Here is a 15421-nt window from a genome sequence, read left to right as displayed (position 1 = left end):
CAGAGAAAGACATCACCCTTCAGACTTTGGTTCTTTAGAATTTCATCCTGGTAGCCCCGCCTGTCCTCACCTAGGCTGCACTGATAAAGGTGCTGAGTCAAGCCCCCACGGCCCACCAAGGCAAGTTCTCAGGGCACCCCATCTTCCCAGTTGATCCCAAACCATTCCCTCTCACTCTTGTCTTGCTTACTATAAATCTTGCTTCTGTCTTCAGGCCCTCCAGATTAAAGACTTACCCATGCTCTCGTAGCACGGGAACCTCAGCTTTTCCCCATAGTTGGTGTCAACTCCCTGATCAAACTCAAACACCCCCATAACATGCTTCTATTGTTATCCCCATTTTACAGACACGAAAGTCTGCCAAAGAGAGCTTAGGCTGCTTGCCTAAGGAGTCTGAGTACAGACTCAAAATCTTCCTACACCAGTGGTTCCCAAATTTCAGTGGACATCAGAATCACCTGGAGGGAATCAGATGGCTGGGATTCAATCCCAGAGTTTGAGTCAGTAGGTATAAGATCTGATTATTTGCATTTCTAACAAGTTCCCAGGTGATGCCAATGTTATTGGTCTAGGGACCACACTTTGAGAACCACTCACCTACACTCTTGCTTCTGTACTTTTCACTACACTTTAAATAGGCCAATGAAGTCATAATCATTAGAGGTGAGCCCTAGACACCAGTGTTTTTTAAAAGCTCTCCAGATAATTCAAATGTGCAGGCTGATTTGAGAACTACTAGATATAGTCTTGCCAATCAAAGCATACTGGCAGCATCAACACCACCTGAGTCCACTCAGACCCTATTACCGGATGGAAGGTCTTGACTGAGTTGTCCAGGTTCTTGGCATGTTGAACAAAGAACGGAATAAAATGCACAAACAAAGCAACAAAAGAATGAAACAATGAAAGACAAACAACAACAAAAAGTAACGAACGCACAGATTTATTGAAGCGAAGCTACAATTCACAGAGTGGGAGCAGACTCCAGCAAGTGAAGCAGCACAAGAGCACCCCCCCCCACCAACAACAATTAGGCTTTTTATTAAGTTACAAAAGTTTAATAACTCCCCTAGATGCACTTTAGAGGCCTCCAATTGGTTACACCCTATGAAGGATTGGCCTGTGACCAATTAGAGGCTGAAGTGGAAACTTCTGTCTTGTTATCAGAGGAGCAAGGATGTGGCCTGTTTGCTGCCTAATCTTGCCTAGAACTCGCTGCACCTGCTGTTCTTTCCGTATACCTTAACCCTTGGTTACCCTAATTCCCTGTTCTCCTGCCTCACCCCCAGGTGATTGATATCTCATTAAAATTTAAGGAACGCTGATAAACACTCTACTGCCTCACAGTTCCTCCCCAGCTGTTCAGCCCTTTAACAGAGATCCCAGGCAATCGCTGTATCAGGTGGGGTTCTACCAGAGAAACAGAACCAGTAGGAGATCTTAGTAAGAGATGTGTTCCAAGGAATTAGCTTACAAGATTGTGGGACTGGCTAAGCAAGTCTTAAATCCAAAGGGCAGGCCATCACCCAGGACAGGTTGCAGCTCTCAGGCAAAGGCTGAAGGTGCTGTCCCCAGGCAGAATTCCTTCCACTCTCAGGGATACCTCAGCCTGCTTTTAAGCCCCTTCAATTGATTGAATCAACTCGGATTATTCAGGATAATTATCCCTTACTTAAAGTCAACTGCTATGGACTTTAGTCACATTTACAAAATACCCTCATAGTTTGAATGAATAACTAAGAACTGTAGCTTAGCCTCGCTGACACACAAAACTGACCATCACAACCACTGAGGTTGCTTGATGTAGTAATAGAGCCCATGGTTGGGTACCTTCTCTTTTATGAACAACCAAAGTAAATAGATCAGGCAGGGGCTGGTGGCTCACGCATGTAATCCCAGCACTTTGAGAGGCCAAGGTGGGTGGATCACTTGAGGTCAGGAGTTTCAGACCACTCCAGGCAACATGGTGAAACTCCGTCTCTACTAAAAATACAAAACTTAGCTGGGCATGGTGGCGCCTGCCTGTAGTCCCAGCTACTCGGGAGGCTGAGCCAGGAGAATCGCTTGAACCCAGGAGGCGGAGGCTGCAGTGAGTCAAGATCGTGCCACTGCACTCCAGCCTGGGTGACAGAGTGAGACCCTGTCTCAAAAAAAAAAAAAAAATAGATCAATATGTCTTTACCTAAGCATTGATTAATATATTGAGTCAGCTAGTGGCAAGTGATTACTTCCACTTCCTTCAGGTTTCATCACTGACTAGGTGCTCATAGATGACCATAATAAGTAAGCAACAAGAACCTCCTCTTTTTCTAAAAGATCCATCGGCTGATTTAAAACATAAGAAACACTGGTCATATAAGCAATAGAGTGTACTCATCTTTTGTGGATCTGAAGACTATACAAGACTATAGAGCCTATACAGTCTTCAAGCCTGTGCAAATTACAAAAGCTTATTCCCACTTTGAGCTGGACTCTAAATAATGCACCCTAATATTGTACGACATTTTCTAGCAGCCATGTCACATTCTTGGAGTGTTTTGAGCTTGAAAGCTACTGAATAATTCTCCCTGTTAATTCCTAAAAGACTGAATTTCTGCCGGTCTGTTAATTATTTGTTATCTGTTTATTATTTAAACCAAAGTTGGGGCTTCACAGTTCTTCCTTTATTCATTTACACAACAAATATGCTAAGCACACAACACACAGACAAGAAACTCCCAGCCAAGTGGGAGAGCAAAACCATGTGAGATGTCATGTCATAGAGATAAGCACAAAGTAAAAGTCCATTTTGCTAATTTGGGATCATTCTTATAACTTTTAAATTTTTTTCCTTCTGTTTTTAAGTGCATATCTATCTAACCCAGCTTCATCTTAACCACAAATTCAATAGGCACTTTTTTTTTGTCCAAATTGTTGCATATATATATATATATATATATATTTTTTTTTTTTTTTTTTTTTTTTTTTGAGATGATGTCTCACTCTGTCACCCAGGCTGGAGTGCATTGGCATGATCTCAGCTCACTGCAACCTCCACCTCCCGAGTTCAAGCGATTCACCTGCCTCAGCCTCCTAAGTAGCTGGGACTACAGGCGCACACCACTACGCCCGGCTAATTTTTTGTATTTTAGTAGAGACAGGGTTTCACCGTGTTCCCCAGGCTGGTCGCAAACTCCTGAGCTCAAGCAATCCGCCTGCCTCAGCCTCCCAAAGTACTGGGATTACAGGTGTGAGCCACTGCGCTCAGCTGCTTATATTTTAATAGCATTGGTTGGTACCTCAGAATTGATCCTCTTTGGGTTTGACTGTTTAATTACTGTAGTGGTCTGAATGGTGGCCCCCAAAATGTCAGGTCCATGTCCTCACCCCGGGACCTGTGAATGTGACCCTATTTGGAATAGGGCCTTTGCAGACATAATTAATTGAAGGATCTCAAGATAAGATCATTCTGGATTACCTGTAGGGGTCCTAAATCCAATGACAAGTATCCCAAGAGACACCTAGAGGCAGAGATTGGAACTACACAGCCACAAGCCAAAGAATGGCTGGAGCCACCAGAGCTGAAAGAGGCAAGGCAAGATTCTGCCCTAGAGCCTTCCAAGGGAGCTCAGTCCTGCCGACACCTTGTGATATGGTTTGGCTGTGTCCCCACCCCAATCTCATCTTGAATTGTAGCTCCCATAATTCCTATGCGTTGTGGGAGGGATCTGGTGGGAGATAATTGAATCATGAGGGTGGTTTCCCCCATACTGTTCTCATGATAGTGAATAAGTTCAAGAGATCTGATGGTTTTATAAGGGAAAACCCCTTTCACTTGGCTCTCATTCCCTCTTGTCTGCCACCATGTAAGACATGCCTTTCACCTTCCTCCTTCTGCCATGGTTGTGAGGCCTCCTCAGCCACGTGGAACTATGAGTCCATTAAACCTTTTTCTTTATAAATTACCCAGTCTCAGGGATATCTTTATCAGCAATGTGAAAACGGACTAATACATCTTGATTTCAGACTTCTGGCCTCCAGAATTGTGAGAGAATAAATTCCTGTTGTTATAAGCCACCAAGTTTATGGTCATTCATGACAGAAACCACAGGAAGCTACTACTACATGTTTAACCACTGCCTGTTGTGTGCCTCCTTGGTGGACATATTAGTAGGAGTCAGATGTTGTGTGAAGGGGGCAGCCAAAGGCACATACAGGCCCCAATGACACAAGCTAAAAGGCGTGAAGACAGAAATACAAGTGACTACACTCAGGGTCCTTCATAAGAAGCCTGGACTAGCCTGAAGGAAGGAATGCTGGGCTAATGGTGAGCAGTCAGCTTCAAGAGGAGAGCAGGAGATGGCAGGAGTTTGGACTTGATTTGATCCAAGGGGCAGCCTTAGGCTTTTGATTAAAGCCAGGTATTTTAATGGTTAAATTGGAAATAATATGCAGTATGGATGAGGATGTGGGCAGGGAGGGTAGTTTCTGAAAGAACGCTGTCTCAAGATTCCAAGCATTAGATTAAGACTGTGTCAAAGGAAGAATCCACGAGAATTAACACATTATAGAATTTCAAGGTAACAAATCCAATGTCAAACCTCAGAATACAAAAAAAAAAAGGGAATGGCTCTGTCCAAACTGGAAATACGAGAACAAAAATTTAGTTTGAATGACAGTTTAACCAGTGCCCATTTGAACATCTGATGCCTGCCCCTTGTTGGCACATACACAAGTCACTACTCCCTTACTCCTTCCACCTTTTCCCTGCAAGTTTCCCTTTGCAACTAGCAGTCACTGTCACTGGGCCTCTCAATAACCACAAAGTAACCCTGGTGCAGTCATGAGAATAAGCTCTGACCCATGTGGCCAGCTGCTCGATGTGCAGCAGGTACAATGAAACTCAAACAGATGAGGCTCAATTTGCTCCACCTCTCTCTGCTAATGAGATTTTCATGAGAACTTAAATTTTGGGACAGTGGGGGTGGTGCCTGAATGTCATTGAATTGGTAGATGTTTTAGCCCGATAAAATGAAGAGATGTAAGAAGAAACAGGTTAGCAGGCAGATGGGGAGGGGGGCAGGCATAAGCTGTACCCACAGATATTTGTCAAAGACATTTCTTCTAGGCTAAACAATTTTTAGCTTCAGTTTTGTTAAAAGCACAAAGTAGTCCATTATGGTCAATAATCCATTTAAAAAAGACAATGCAGTGAAAGTTCTAGGATTGAATCTGACTCAAAATCAAGATCAGTAGCTGGGACAGAACTGTACAGGGTTGGGGGACACACACTCACTGAGAATGTTAAGTACTAAGAATCAAGATATAATGGGTTAAATCCTTTCAGAAATGTTTATTGGGCATCTGCTGTGTGCTAATCCCTGTTCTAGATGCGGGGTATAGAGTGGTAAACAAGAGAGACTTATCCTCCACCTCCTTACATGGCTTGCCTAAGGGTGAGCTGAAAATGAAAGCAACATAACTTCGTAATCCAGTCAAAAGGACCCAAATGTTGTTATGTCTGTGAGATAAGCAGGATGTAGTCACACAAAAATATTAATGAAATGCAAAAGATATAAAGGAGACTGTAACCTCAATTACATCTTAGCAGCATGAGGTAATAGTGCTCTCAGAAGTGGATGTTTCCTTTTTAAAAGGAATTCAAGGACCTTTGTGATGATAGAAGAGTTCTGTATCCTGATTGTGATGGTGAACACACAAATCCACACATGATAAAATTGCATAGAACTATTCACACACACCCAAATAAGTGCATGTAAAACTGGTGAAATCTGCAAAAGATCTGTGGATTGCACCAATGTCGATTTCCTGGCTTGATATTGTACTCTAGTTAGGCAAGATGTGACCACTGGCGGAAATGAATTAAGGGTGTACAGCACCTTTCTGAACCATTCTGGCAGCCCGCTGTGAATCTATGGCTATTTCAAAATAAAAAGATTTTTTTAAGGAATTTGAGATTAAGGAATGTTATAATTGTGACTATGATCCACCCAGGACAGAAGGTGTCTGATTCTGCGACCGCTGTCAGAGTTCTAGACACAGCCCTGGAAGGAGACAGGGTAATCCATCCAGCTTCCTCAGCGTCCTAGAAACAAGTCTCCTCCTATGTAGCCCCTTTAACTATCCCAAGGATCCCACACCAGAGGCACACGTAAAAACCTATGGCAAATTCTGGACTCCAGCTCAGGAAATTCCTCCAGATGCCTCCCCAGGGCCAGCTTGAAGTCTCCTCATCACACATGCTTCTCGATTCTCTTGGCTTCTCGCCTTGGCTCCCTCGTGGCTTGTTGCCCAGGGTGGGGCTAGTAATGGTGCCCCAGACTCTTGGCACGGACCTGAGACTTCATGGGGCAAGACTTGGTCCTCACTCCTCAGCTCCAAGTTCTGATGTGCCTCTGAAAAATCAGGCTGAGGCCGTGTGACCTGGAGCCCAGAAAAAGTAATGATGTCCCCTGTTTCCTTACCCCTCCAATCCAATGAATATTTGTTACTGTCTTTGTTCAGGTTGTATTCTCAGCTAGCAACAATTAATCAATGATTTGGACTTTCCAGTAGATTCATTCACTGGGAGACAGTGATCAGAGAAAATAACCAATATTTATTATCATAGTTATTATACCCGTCATTGTAAAGAAATCCATTTCCACTCTGGTTTCAGCATGATTTAAGGCAGTCCCTCAGTACAGTATAGCAGTTATGACTCCAGAGCCAGGCTGCCTAGGTTTAAATCCTGGCTCTGTCCACACTTGCTCTGAAACCTTATATACTGCCACTTACTTGCTATGGGACCTCAGGCAAAAACCTCATTTCTCTGAGGCACTTTGTTTCCTCATCTGTAAAGTGGGATAATTAACAGAGCCTACCTCATAGGGCTGTTGAGAACATTAAATTGAGTAATACATCTAAAGTACTTCAAGTAGTGCCTACCTGCAGTAAGGGTTATATGGTAGTTATTATTACTGCCTGGAAGTTAATAAAATGTTGAAGACTGTAAAACTAAGAGACAGTCCTGTACCTATAAGGACTGAGTTAACCTTAAGCCCTGCCTCACTAGCAGACCCAAACTGAGAAATGGGCCAGCTTCTGAGACTTCTCTTGCCCCCAAGTCCCTATAGAATTGGTATTTGTTCTGCTTGTTGAGTTTTTAAAAAGGGCCACAAACCAATGCTAAGTTTTGCCCTTCAACATTAAAATCATCTGGCAAGTGATTCCGGGCAGAGAAACAACCTGCTGGGAGTCCATACAGACCTGTTGCTGCACTGACTCACCCATGGAATAAGAGTTGCAAAAACAGTCCATGTAAAGGTCTCTGAAAATATCTCAGGTAGCAGTGTTTTGACACAAGTACTGCTTGGGAAAGAAGCACAGTCAGTGAATACTTCGCATGGGACTAGGAGAAGTGAAACTGTTCTAGGCTCTATGATAACAGATCAACCAACTATTCCAGCAAAGTTGACCAAAGAAACTAACAAACTAATCATTTCATTCAATTAACTTGCCAGTTTAGTGAAAGATTCAGTTAACTTTGTGTTCAATTCCATCAAAAGTATTAAACATGTTTTGCTATGATCACAAGCTTTACCTGTAGCTCACTTGACAAAAAATAAAAATGACAGTTCACCCAGGGAAACATACAAGAGTTAGAAACTGGCTATCCATTTCGCAAACTTACCAAAACCAAAAATTAAGTTTGTATGGAAAGAGCTTAGAAAGTCAAGCTATAGTACCTGTCAATATCATTAAAATCTGGTTGCCCTAAAATGTGATTCTGGCTAAGCTGAAAGAAAAAAAAAGGAAAAGACATACCTTAAAAGCTGATCACAACACAATTAATAAATACCAAAGTAATGGCTGTATTTGAACAGGTGATGGGGTAATTAGGCAGGGAAAGTTGCTTGGGGCTGATTCCGACTGATTCCATTAAGTCAACCGGTGAAGTAATACTGCTGTTTCTCTGGAGACACAAGACATCTCTGAAGACCTCTTTTATTTTCCCTACCATGGGTCCCTGGGCCCCTGGAGGAGTTCCAAATGCAAAAATCCTACATCCATACTTTGCACAGATTTCAGAAGTTGGCAAAATAAAACCAGAGATTTTTTTAAAATGACACAATCTCAAGGATCAATAGAACTACTAATAGAAGACCAAGACCTAATAGAATTCTCCTAATTGTCCATTCGTGGAAATGTTATTAGAAGTGGGGTGGGGGGTTGGAGAATGGAGCTGGAACACGAAAGTACCAAATAACAGCCAATATTTGTTGGGTGCTTACGATGAGGCAGGCATGCTTCTAAGCGCTCCTGTGCATTAATTTATCTAATTCTCAGGAGAGTGGTGTTATCAGTTCCATTTCACAGATGAGGAAAACTGAGATGCAAAAAGATTAAGCATCCTCCCCAAGATCCACAGTGAATAAGTGGCAGAGTTGGGATATTTTATCCAGGCAGTATGGCATCAGAGGTTATTTAGTTCAATACTACACTATGAGGCCAAACAGAAGACCCTCCCTTAAACAATGCACCATGGGGCCAGATGAATCCATTGTGACCCCATCAGCTTAGGCGTACCTCCAGCAACAGTGGAGGTACATCTAAGAGCATGGGGCCAGTGTTTGAAAAGATACAGGCACTGGGACCTGTGGAGCAAACCCAATGACATCTCTTTTTTAAATGTATTTTATTGTCTTAAAATGAATTAAGTGTACAATACATTATTGTTGACTATAGGTACAATGTTGTACAACAGATCTGAGAACTCATTTGTCTTGTTAACTAAACTTTTATGCCCAGTGATTAGTAATCCTCATTTCCCTCTTCCCCCAGCCCCTAGTAATTACCGTACTACTCTTTGATTCTTTGAATTTGACTATTTTAGATATCTCATACAAGTGGAATCTTCTGTGACTGGCTCATTATTGTACTTAGCATTATGTACTCAAGGTTCATCTATGTGGTCATATAGTGCAGAATTTCCTTCTTTATTAAGGCTGAGTAGTATCCCACTGTATATATATACATTTTCTTCATCCGTCTCTCAATGGACACTAAGTTTGTTTCCACCTTTTTTGCTGCAATAAACACTGGAGTGCTACTATCTCTTCAAGATTCTCATTTCAACTGTTTTGGATAAACACCCAGAAGTGGGATTGCTGGATCATATGGTAGTTCTAGTTTTTAGTTTTTGAGGAACCTCCACACTTTCTCTTAGCAGCTACACCATTTTGCATTCCCACCTACAGTGTACAAGATTTCCAATTTGTCCACATCCTCACCAACAGATGTAGTCTTTTGTTTTGTTTTTTGATAATAGCTACCCTAACAGGTATGAGATAATATTTCATTGTGGTTTTGGTTTGCACTACCCTGATGATTAGTGACATTGAGCATTTTTAATATACTTGGCCATTTGTGTGTCTCCTTTAGAGATTAGACCATTATCCTCTATCATACACAAAAATCAACTCAATGTGGGTCAGAGACTTAAATTTATGACCTGAAATTATAAAAACTCCTAGAAGAAAACATAAGGAAGAAGTCAATGATTTCATGAATATGGCACCAAAAGCACAGGCAATGAAAACAAAAATAAGTCAATTACATCAAACTAAAAAGCTTCTGAACAGCAAAGGAGACAAGTAAGAGAGTGAAAAGGCAACCTATGGAATGAGAGAGAATACTTGCAAACCATACATCTGATACAGGGTTAAACTCCAGAATACCTCAGAACCCTCTACAACTGAATTTTTTTTTTAAAGTAACCTGATTTGTTCTTTTTGCTTAGAATTGCTTTGGTTATTACACACATACTTGGTTTTATATAAATTCTAGCACTGTTTTTTTCTAATTCTGTGAAAAAAACACATTGGTAATTTGATAATTGCATTGAATTTATAGATTGGTTTGTGTAGTACACTTATTTTAAAAATATTGGTTCTTTTGAAAAAAAAACTGGGCTAAGAACTTGAATAGACATTTCTCCAGTGACATATTTATAAGATTGGGAAGAGGGAAAAAAAGGAAGAAATTAGTGCTGTAACAAAATATTCACCAGGTATCAGTTTTTTTCTTATGAGCCTTTGCACAGCCTCTATAGGCTGGCCACATCCACAGGGGTTCTGTGCCTGGGAGGCATGGAAAACACTCTAAAACAGTGTCCTGGTAGCCATTTAAAAAAGGGTGGACTTAGAAAACAGCAATAATGAAGTGTGATTCCCCATTACTGCAGCCCTGCCAGGCCCTATAAACCATCTGAGAGCTCCTAGCACCTGTGGCACTAAGGCCCCAAAGCAAGTGAGGGGAGAAGGGAGTGGCTACCTTTCCTGTTTCAGAGATGTAGAAAGAGGTGAAGGATGATAAAGCCTGCTAGTGCACAGAAAGGAACACTCTCATCACAAGGAAAAGATATAGCCACCTGAAAAGTAAAAGTAATTATTATTATTATTAGTGAGAAATGAAATAATTAGTCTGGGAGCAGAGACCTGGCTATTAAGTATGTGTCTCACGAAACAGTCAAATATGGGCAAAGATCACAAAAAGAACTAGAATGGAGATAAGTGGAGTTATTTAGAAAATGAAAAAATATATATTTTTAAATCATCAGCTACAGTTAAGAATGGCCAAAATCTGAGCGCTTGTTTACAGAGGAAATTGACTGGAAACCCAGAGAGGTGTCCTCGGTCTACTCAGAGTTCTTGTTGGACCCTTCTAAGGAAGATAGAGGTGTTTGCTGTCCTTCATCCCAGGAAGCTGTCCTGAGTAGGGCAAGGCGGCATCACCCAAGCCATATGGAGCTTTCAAAGGAAAGAAGGAGAGGACAGTGAAGGTAAACCAGCTGTTTCTCACTGGGTTAGAAAAACTTCCAGAAAACCACACAGAGCCTTCTAAATGATGGGACATGCTGAACATGCCAAAGAGAAAGGTCCCATTGGGATGGCATTGGAGGGTATTTTCCCCCTTTACTTGTAATGATTCAAACACTGATGGATGCCATGCAAAATTGAGGAAGCAGTGGGGGGAAGGGGGATCTTGATGGAGCTCATGTATGCAACATATGGAACAAGTTATTGAAGAAAGTGCTTCTAACAGAGTTTATGAAAGTTAAGAAGAGGCAGTTATGCTTCTTTTAGAGACAGCAAAGATTAAGGGCGTGGTGAAAAAAATAGCGAAACAGGATTAAGATAAAGCAAAACAGAGGAGAAATATTGGACCAGATGAACTTTCACCTTCCCTAAAATGATTTATGTACTTATGAAGAGCTAGACTGGACTTGATTTCAGGGGGTGAGAGTTGCTGGTGAACCTGCATGTACCCAGTATTTCTGCAGAAATTCTGGACAAATCTACACTTCTACAGGCAAAGCCAACACTGAACATGCATGGTGATGAGGTTCTCTATTTAAATAGGACAAACACTTACTTGAGCACCTCATTCAGAGTAACAAAGAGAGAAGGAAATAAAAAAGGAAACAGCATCTGAATATAAAGAAATCTAAGTAAAGAAGTGGCTTTTTGTAATGCTCCAGTTTTTTTATCTTTGTTCTAGAAAATAATCATTTCTCTCTGTTTCATTTATGACTTATTGGTGTCAGAACTCAAGAGAGGCTCAAATGTGACAAAAGGCCCTGTGAGGACCCAACAAGATCTAACCAGTCTATTTCACAGTGGCTTAGGCCAGAGAGGATTGGGCAGAACAAAAATGGTTAGCATAGTGGTGAGCTAAATGTCAGTGTGTCTGACTAACTGTCACAGGGGAAAGCAGGAGCCAGAATCACCAGGAGATGAAGCGTAAGACTTGGAAACTTTACTGCATTGCAGGTAGTGGATGGGGAGGTTGAGGGAATGCAGACTAGCCAAGTCCAAGGCCCAAAGAGCCAGCTGAGGGTTGAGCCTGGAAGCTTTGCTAAGGGTTGAGATCCATGGAAGGGTCATGAAATCAAGGTAGCCAATATTTCTCCAGAATTTTAAAAGTAGAATAAGATAGGACAGGATAGGATAAGATATACAATAGATTATACTAGAAGAGTGAATTACACTCTACTAAGGATAAGTATTGTTTAGTGAAACTTTTAATTCAGAGGGGGTATATGTGGGTGTGTGTAGTGTTTCTGTGTACTGGGTCATTATATAATGACTCAAAAAAGTTTGAAACCACTGATAAAAGAGGCTCAAATAAAAATAGAGGAGGAGGAAAGAAAGTGTTATAAAATAGGAAAAACCCTGAGATCACTACACCTCTGGATTTAGATGTGTCTATAACTTTCCTTATTGTATTACCTTCCTTATTGGGTCAGGTTTTCTATTGCTTGATGCTGACTAAATCACAAGGTAGCAAGGCTGAAGTGAAGATTCAATTAGATAATCTGGAGTTGGACATGGTAGCTCACACCTGTAATCCCAGCACCTTGGGAAGCTGAGGCGGGAGGATCATTTGAGGCCAGGAATTGGAGACCAGACTGGGGAAGATGGTGAAATCCTGTCTCCACAAAAAATTTAAAAATTAGCCAGACAAGCCATATGCAGAAAACTGAAACCGGACCCCTTCCTTATATGTTATACAAAAATTAACTCAAGATGGATTAAAGACTTAAATGTAAGACCTAAAACCATAAAAACCCTAGAGGAAAACCTAGGCAATACTATTCAGGACAGAAGCATGGGCAAAGACTTCATGACTAAAACACCAAAAGCAATGGCAACAAAAGCCAAAATTGACAAATGGGATCCAATTAAACTAAAGAGCTTCCACACAGCAAAAGAAAGTATCATCAGAGTGAACAGGCAACCTACAGAATGGGGGAAACTTTTTGCAATCTACCCATCTGACAAAGGGCTAATATCCAGAATCTACAAAGAACTCAAACAAATTTACAAGAAAAAAAAACAAACAACCCCATCAAAAAGTGGACAAAGGATACGAACAGACACTTCTCAAAAGAAGACATTTATGTGGCCAACAAACATATGAAAAAAAGCTCATCATCACTCGTCATTAGAGAAATGCAAATCAAAACCACAATGAGATACCATCTCACACCAGTTAGAATGGCAATCATTAAAAAGTCAGGAAACAACAGATGCTGGAGAGGATGTGGAGAAATAGGAACACTTTTACACTGTTGGTGGGAATATAAATTAGTTCAACCATTTGTGGAAGACAGTGTGGCAATTCCTCAAGGATCTAGAAACAGAAATACCATTTGACCCGGCAATCCCATTACTGTGTATATACCCAAAGGATTATAAATCATTCTACTATAAAGACACAGGCACACGTATGTTTATTGCAGTACTATTCACAATAGCAAAGACTGGAACCAACCCATAATGCCCATCAATGATAGACTGGATAAAGAAAATGTGGCACATATATACCATGGAATACTATGCAGCCATAAAAAAGGATGAGTTCATGTCCTTTGTAGGGACATGGATGAAGCTGGAAACCATCATTCTCAGCAAACACAGAAACAGAAAACCAAACACCGTATGTTCTCACTAATAAGTGGGAGTTGAACAAGCAGAAAACATGGACACAGGGAGGGGAACATCACACACCGGGGCCAGTTGGGGGTGGGGGGCTAGGGGAGGGATAGCATTAGGAGAAATATCTAATGTAGATAACGGGTTGATGCATGCAGTAAACCACCATGGCACGTGTACACCTATGTAACAAACCTGCACATTCTGCACATGTATCCCAGAACTTAAAGTATAATAAATTAAAATAAAATAAAATAAAACATTAGCCAGACATGGTGGTGTGCACCTGTAATCCCAGCTACTCAGGAGGCTGAGGTGGGAGGATCCCTTGGGCCCAGGAGATCGAAGCCGCAGTGAGCTATATTGTGCCACTGAACTCCAGCCTGGGCAAGAGAGTTTTTTATTTTTTTCTCAAAATAAATAAATTAGATTATCTAAAAGTATTTTGTAAACTAGAGACAACTTATACAAATGAGAGCTTTTCTCCAAAATCACAATGTTTCAACTAACCTAGGTAGAAGGGATTTTTTAGGAAAAATCCTCAACTGTTGTAAGCCTCACCTTCTCTTTGTTGGGACATACTTGCCCTCTCTCTTGGCTCTGGAGCAGGGATTGCATTCTGTACAACACCTAGTGCATTATCAACACTTAATAAATGCAGAATAATGTGATAACTAACAAATTGCCACCAGATGTTCTTAAGGCTTTGCAACCTTCAGGTGAAACTGCACAAAATAATAGTTTAATTATTACAACATCCCTGTCAGTAATGATGAGTGTCTGTCTGTTTTAAGGCTGAAACCTCAAGTTAGGCTGCTGCTATAGTGTTTAAGACTAAATGCTCAAATATGGTCCCCAAAGGCAGATCTTGGGAACAGCTAATAATCAGCTTCTCTATACATCACCATGTTGAATTATTTTACTCAAAAACAAAGCTCAACATTCCAAATCAATATGTCAAAAAAAGTTTCTGGCTGAAATGAAGTTTCAAGAAGACGACAAGTACTATCAGCAGAGGCAGACAAGAAACAAAAAGCATTATCTGTAAGAGGTTAATGAGACGGTAGGATGGCAAGGCTGCTTGGAAGAACTCAAAGGAATTGCCTCCTCCAAAGGACATCAGGAAAGGAACTGGATCCTTCCATTCTCAGAAAATGTTTCTCTTCTCCAGTGGGGTCTCAACCCTGGTGTAGATTGGAATCACCTTGAAAGGTTTTTGGTATTTGGGGCTTTCTTTTAGCATCATGTCCCTGAACCCCACTCTAAACAGTTAAATCAGAATTTCTTGGAGAGGAACTTAAACTGTAGATACTGGACCAACATCATGAACACCACCTAGGAACTTGTAAGAAATACAGAATCTCAAGCCCCACTCAAGACCTATTTAATCAGGATTTGCATTGTCACAAATCCCCAGGTGATTCTTGTGCCCATTATAGTTGGAGAAATGCAAGAATCTTATTTTTTCTCACATAACAGTTCCAGGGTAGCAGTTCAGGGTAACAGGGAAGCCCTGCTCCACATGGTCTTTCAGGTACCAAGGTTCCTTCCTTTGTGCTGCTCATCATCCTCCAGGACATTGCTCACATCTGCCTGGTCAAAACTGGATTACTATGGGGTTCCAACCAGTAGCAGTGGAGGAGAGCATGGAGGAGATCCTTTTATTGCCCTGAGGCCCACACCGAGAAATGCCACACAGTATATCTGCTCTGAATGTGGTCACAGGAACACATCTAATGCAAAGTAGGCTGTGAAATGAAGTCTCGTTACAGGCCTAGAAAGAAAGAGAAAACAATTTTGGTAGACAAAGAACAGTCTCCATGCCAGACACACAGTGCCCAATAAATGATGGCTATTATTATTAACCAGGATGTATACTTCACCAGCTTAGAGTACAAATAGTGTTTCACTTATTTTTCTAGTGACTTGCTGAGGCCCAAGGA

General features: G+C 41.2%; 1 long non-coding RNA gene across 9 annotated transcripts in view; it reads right to left on the bottom strand.

The window, feature by feature from the left end:
- Positions 1 to 15421, bottom strand: part of CFAP418-AS1 (CFAP418 antisense RNA 1) — a 541308-nt gene that overhangs the window by 509024 nt on the left and 16863 nt on the right. The gene's annotated exons all lie outside the window — the stretch shown is intronic.

Source organism: Homo sapiens, chromosome 8 (genome assembly GCF_000001405.40).
Source record: "Homo sapiens chromosome 8, GRCh38.p14 Primary Assembly".
NCBI lineage: Eukaryota > Metazoa > Chordata > Mammalia > Primates > Hominidae > Homo > Homo sapiens.
Note: the sequence above shows the minus strand (reverse complement) of the source record. Positions and strands in the feature narration are given on the sequence as shown.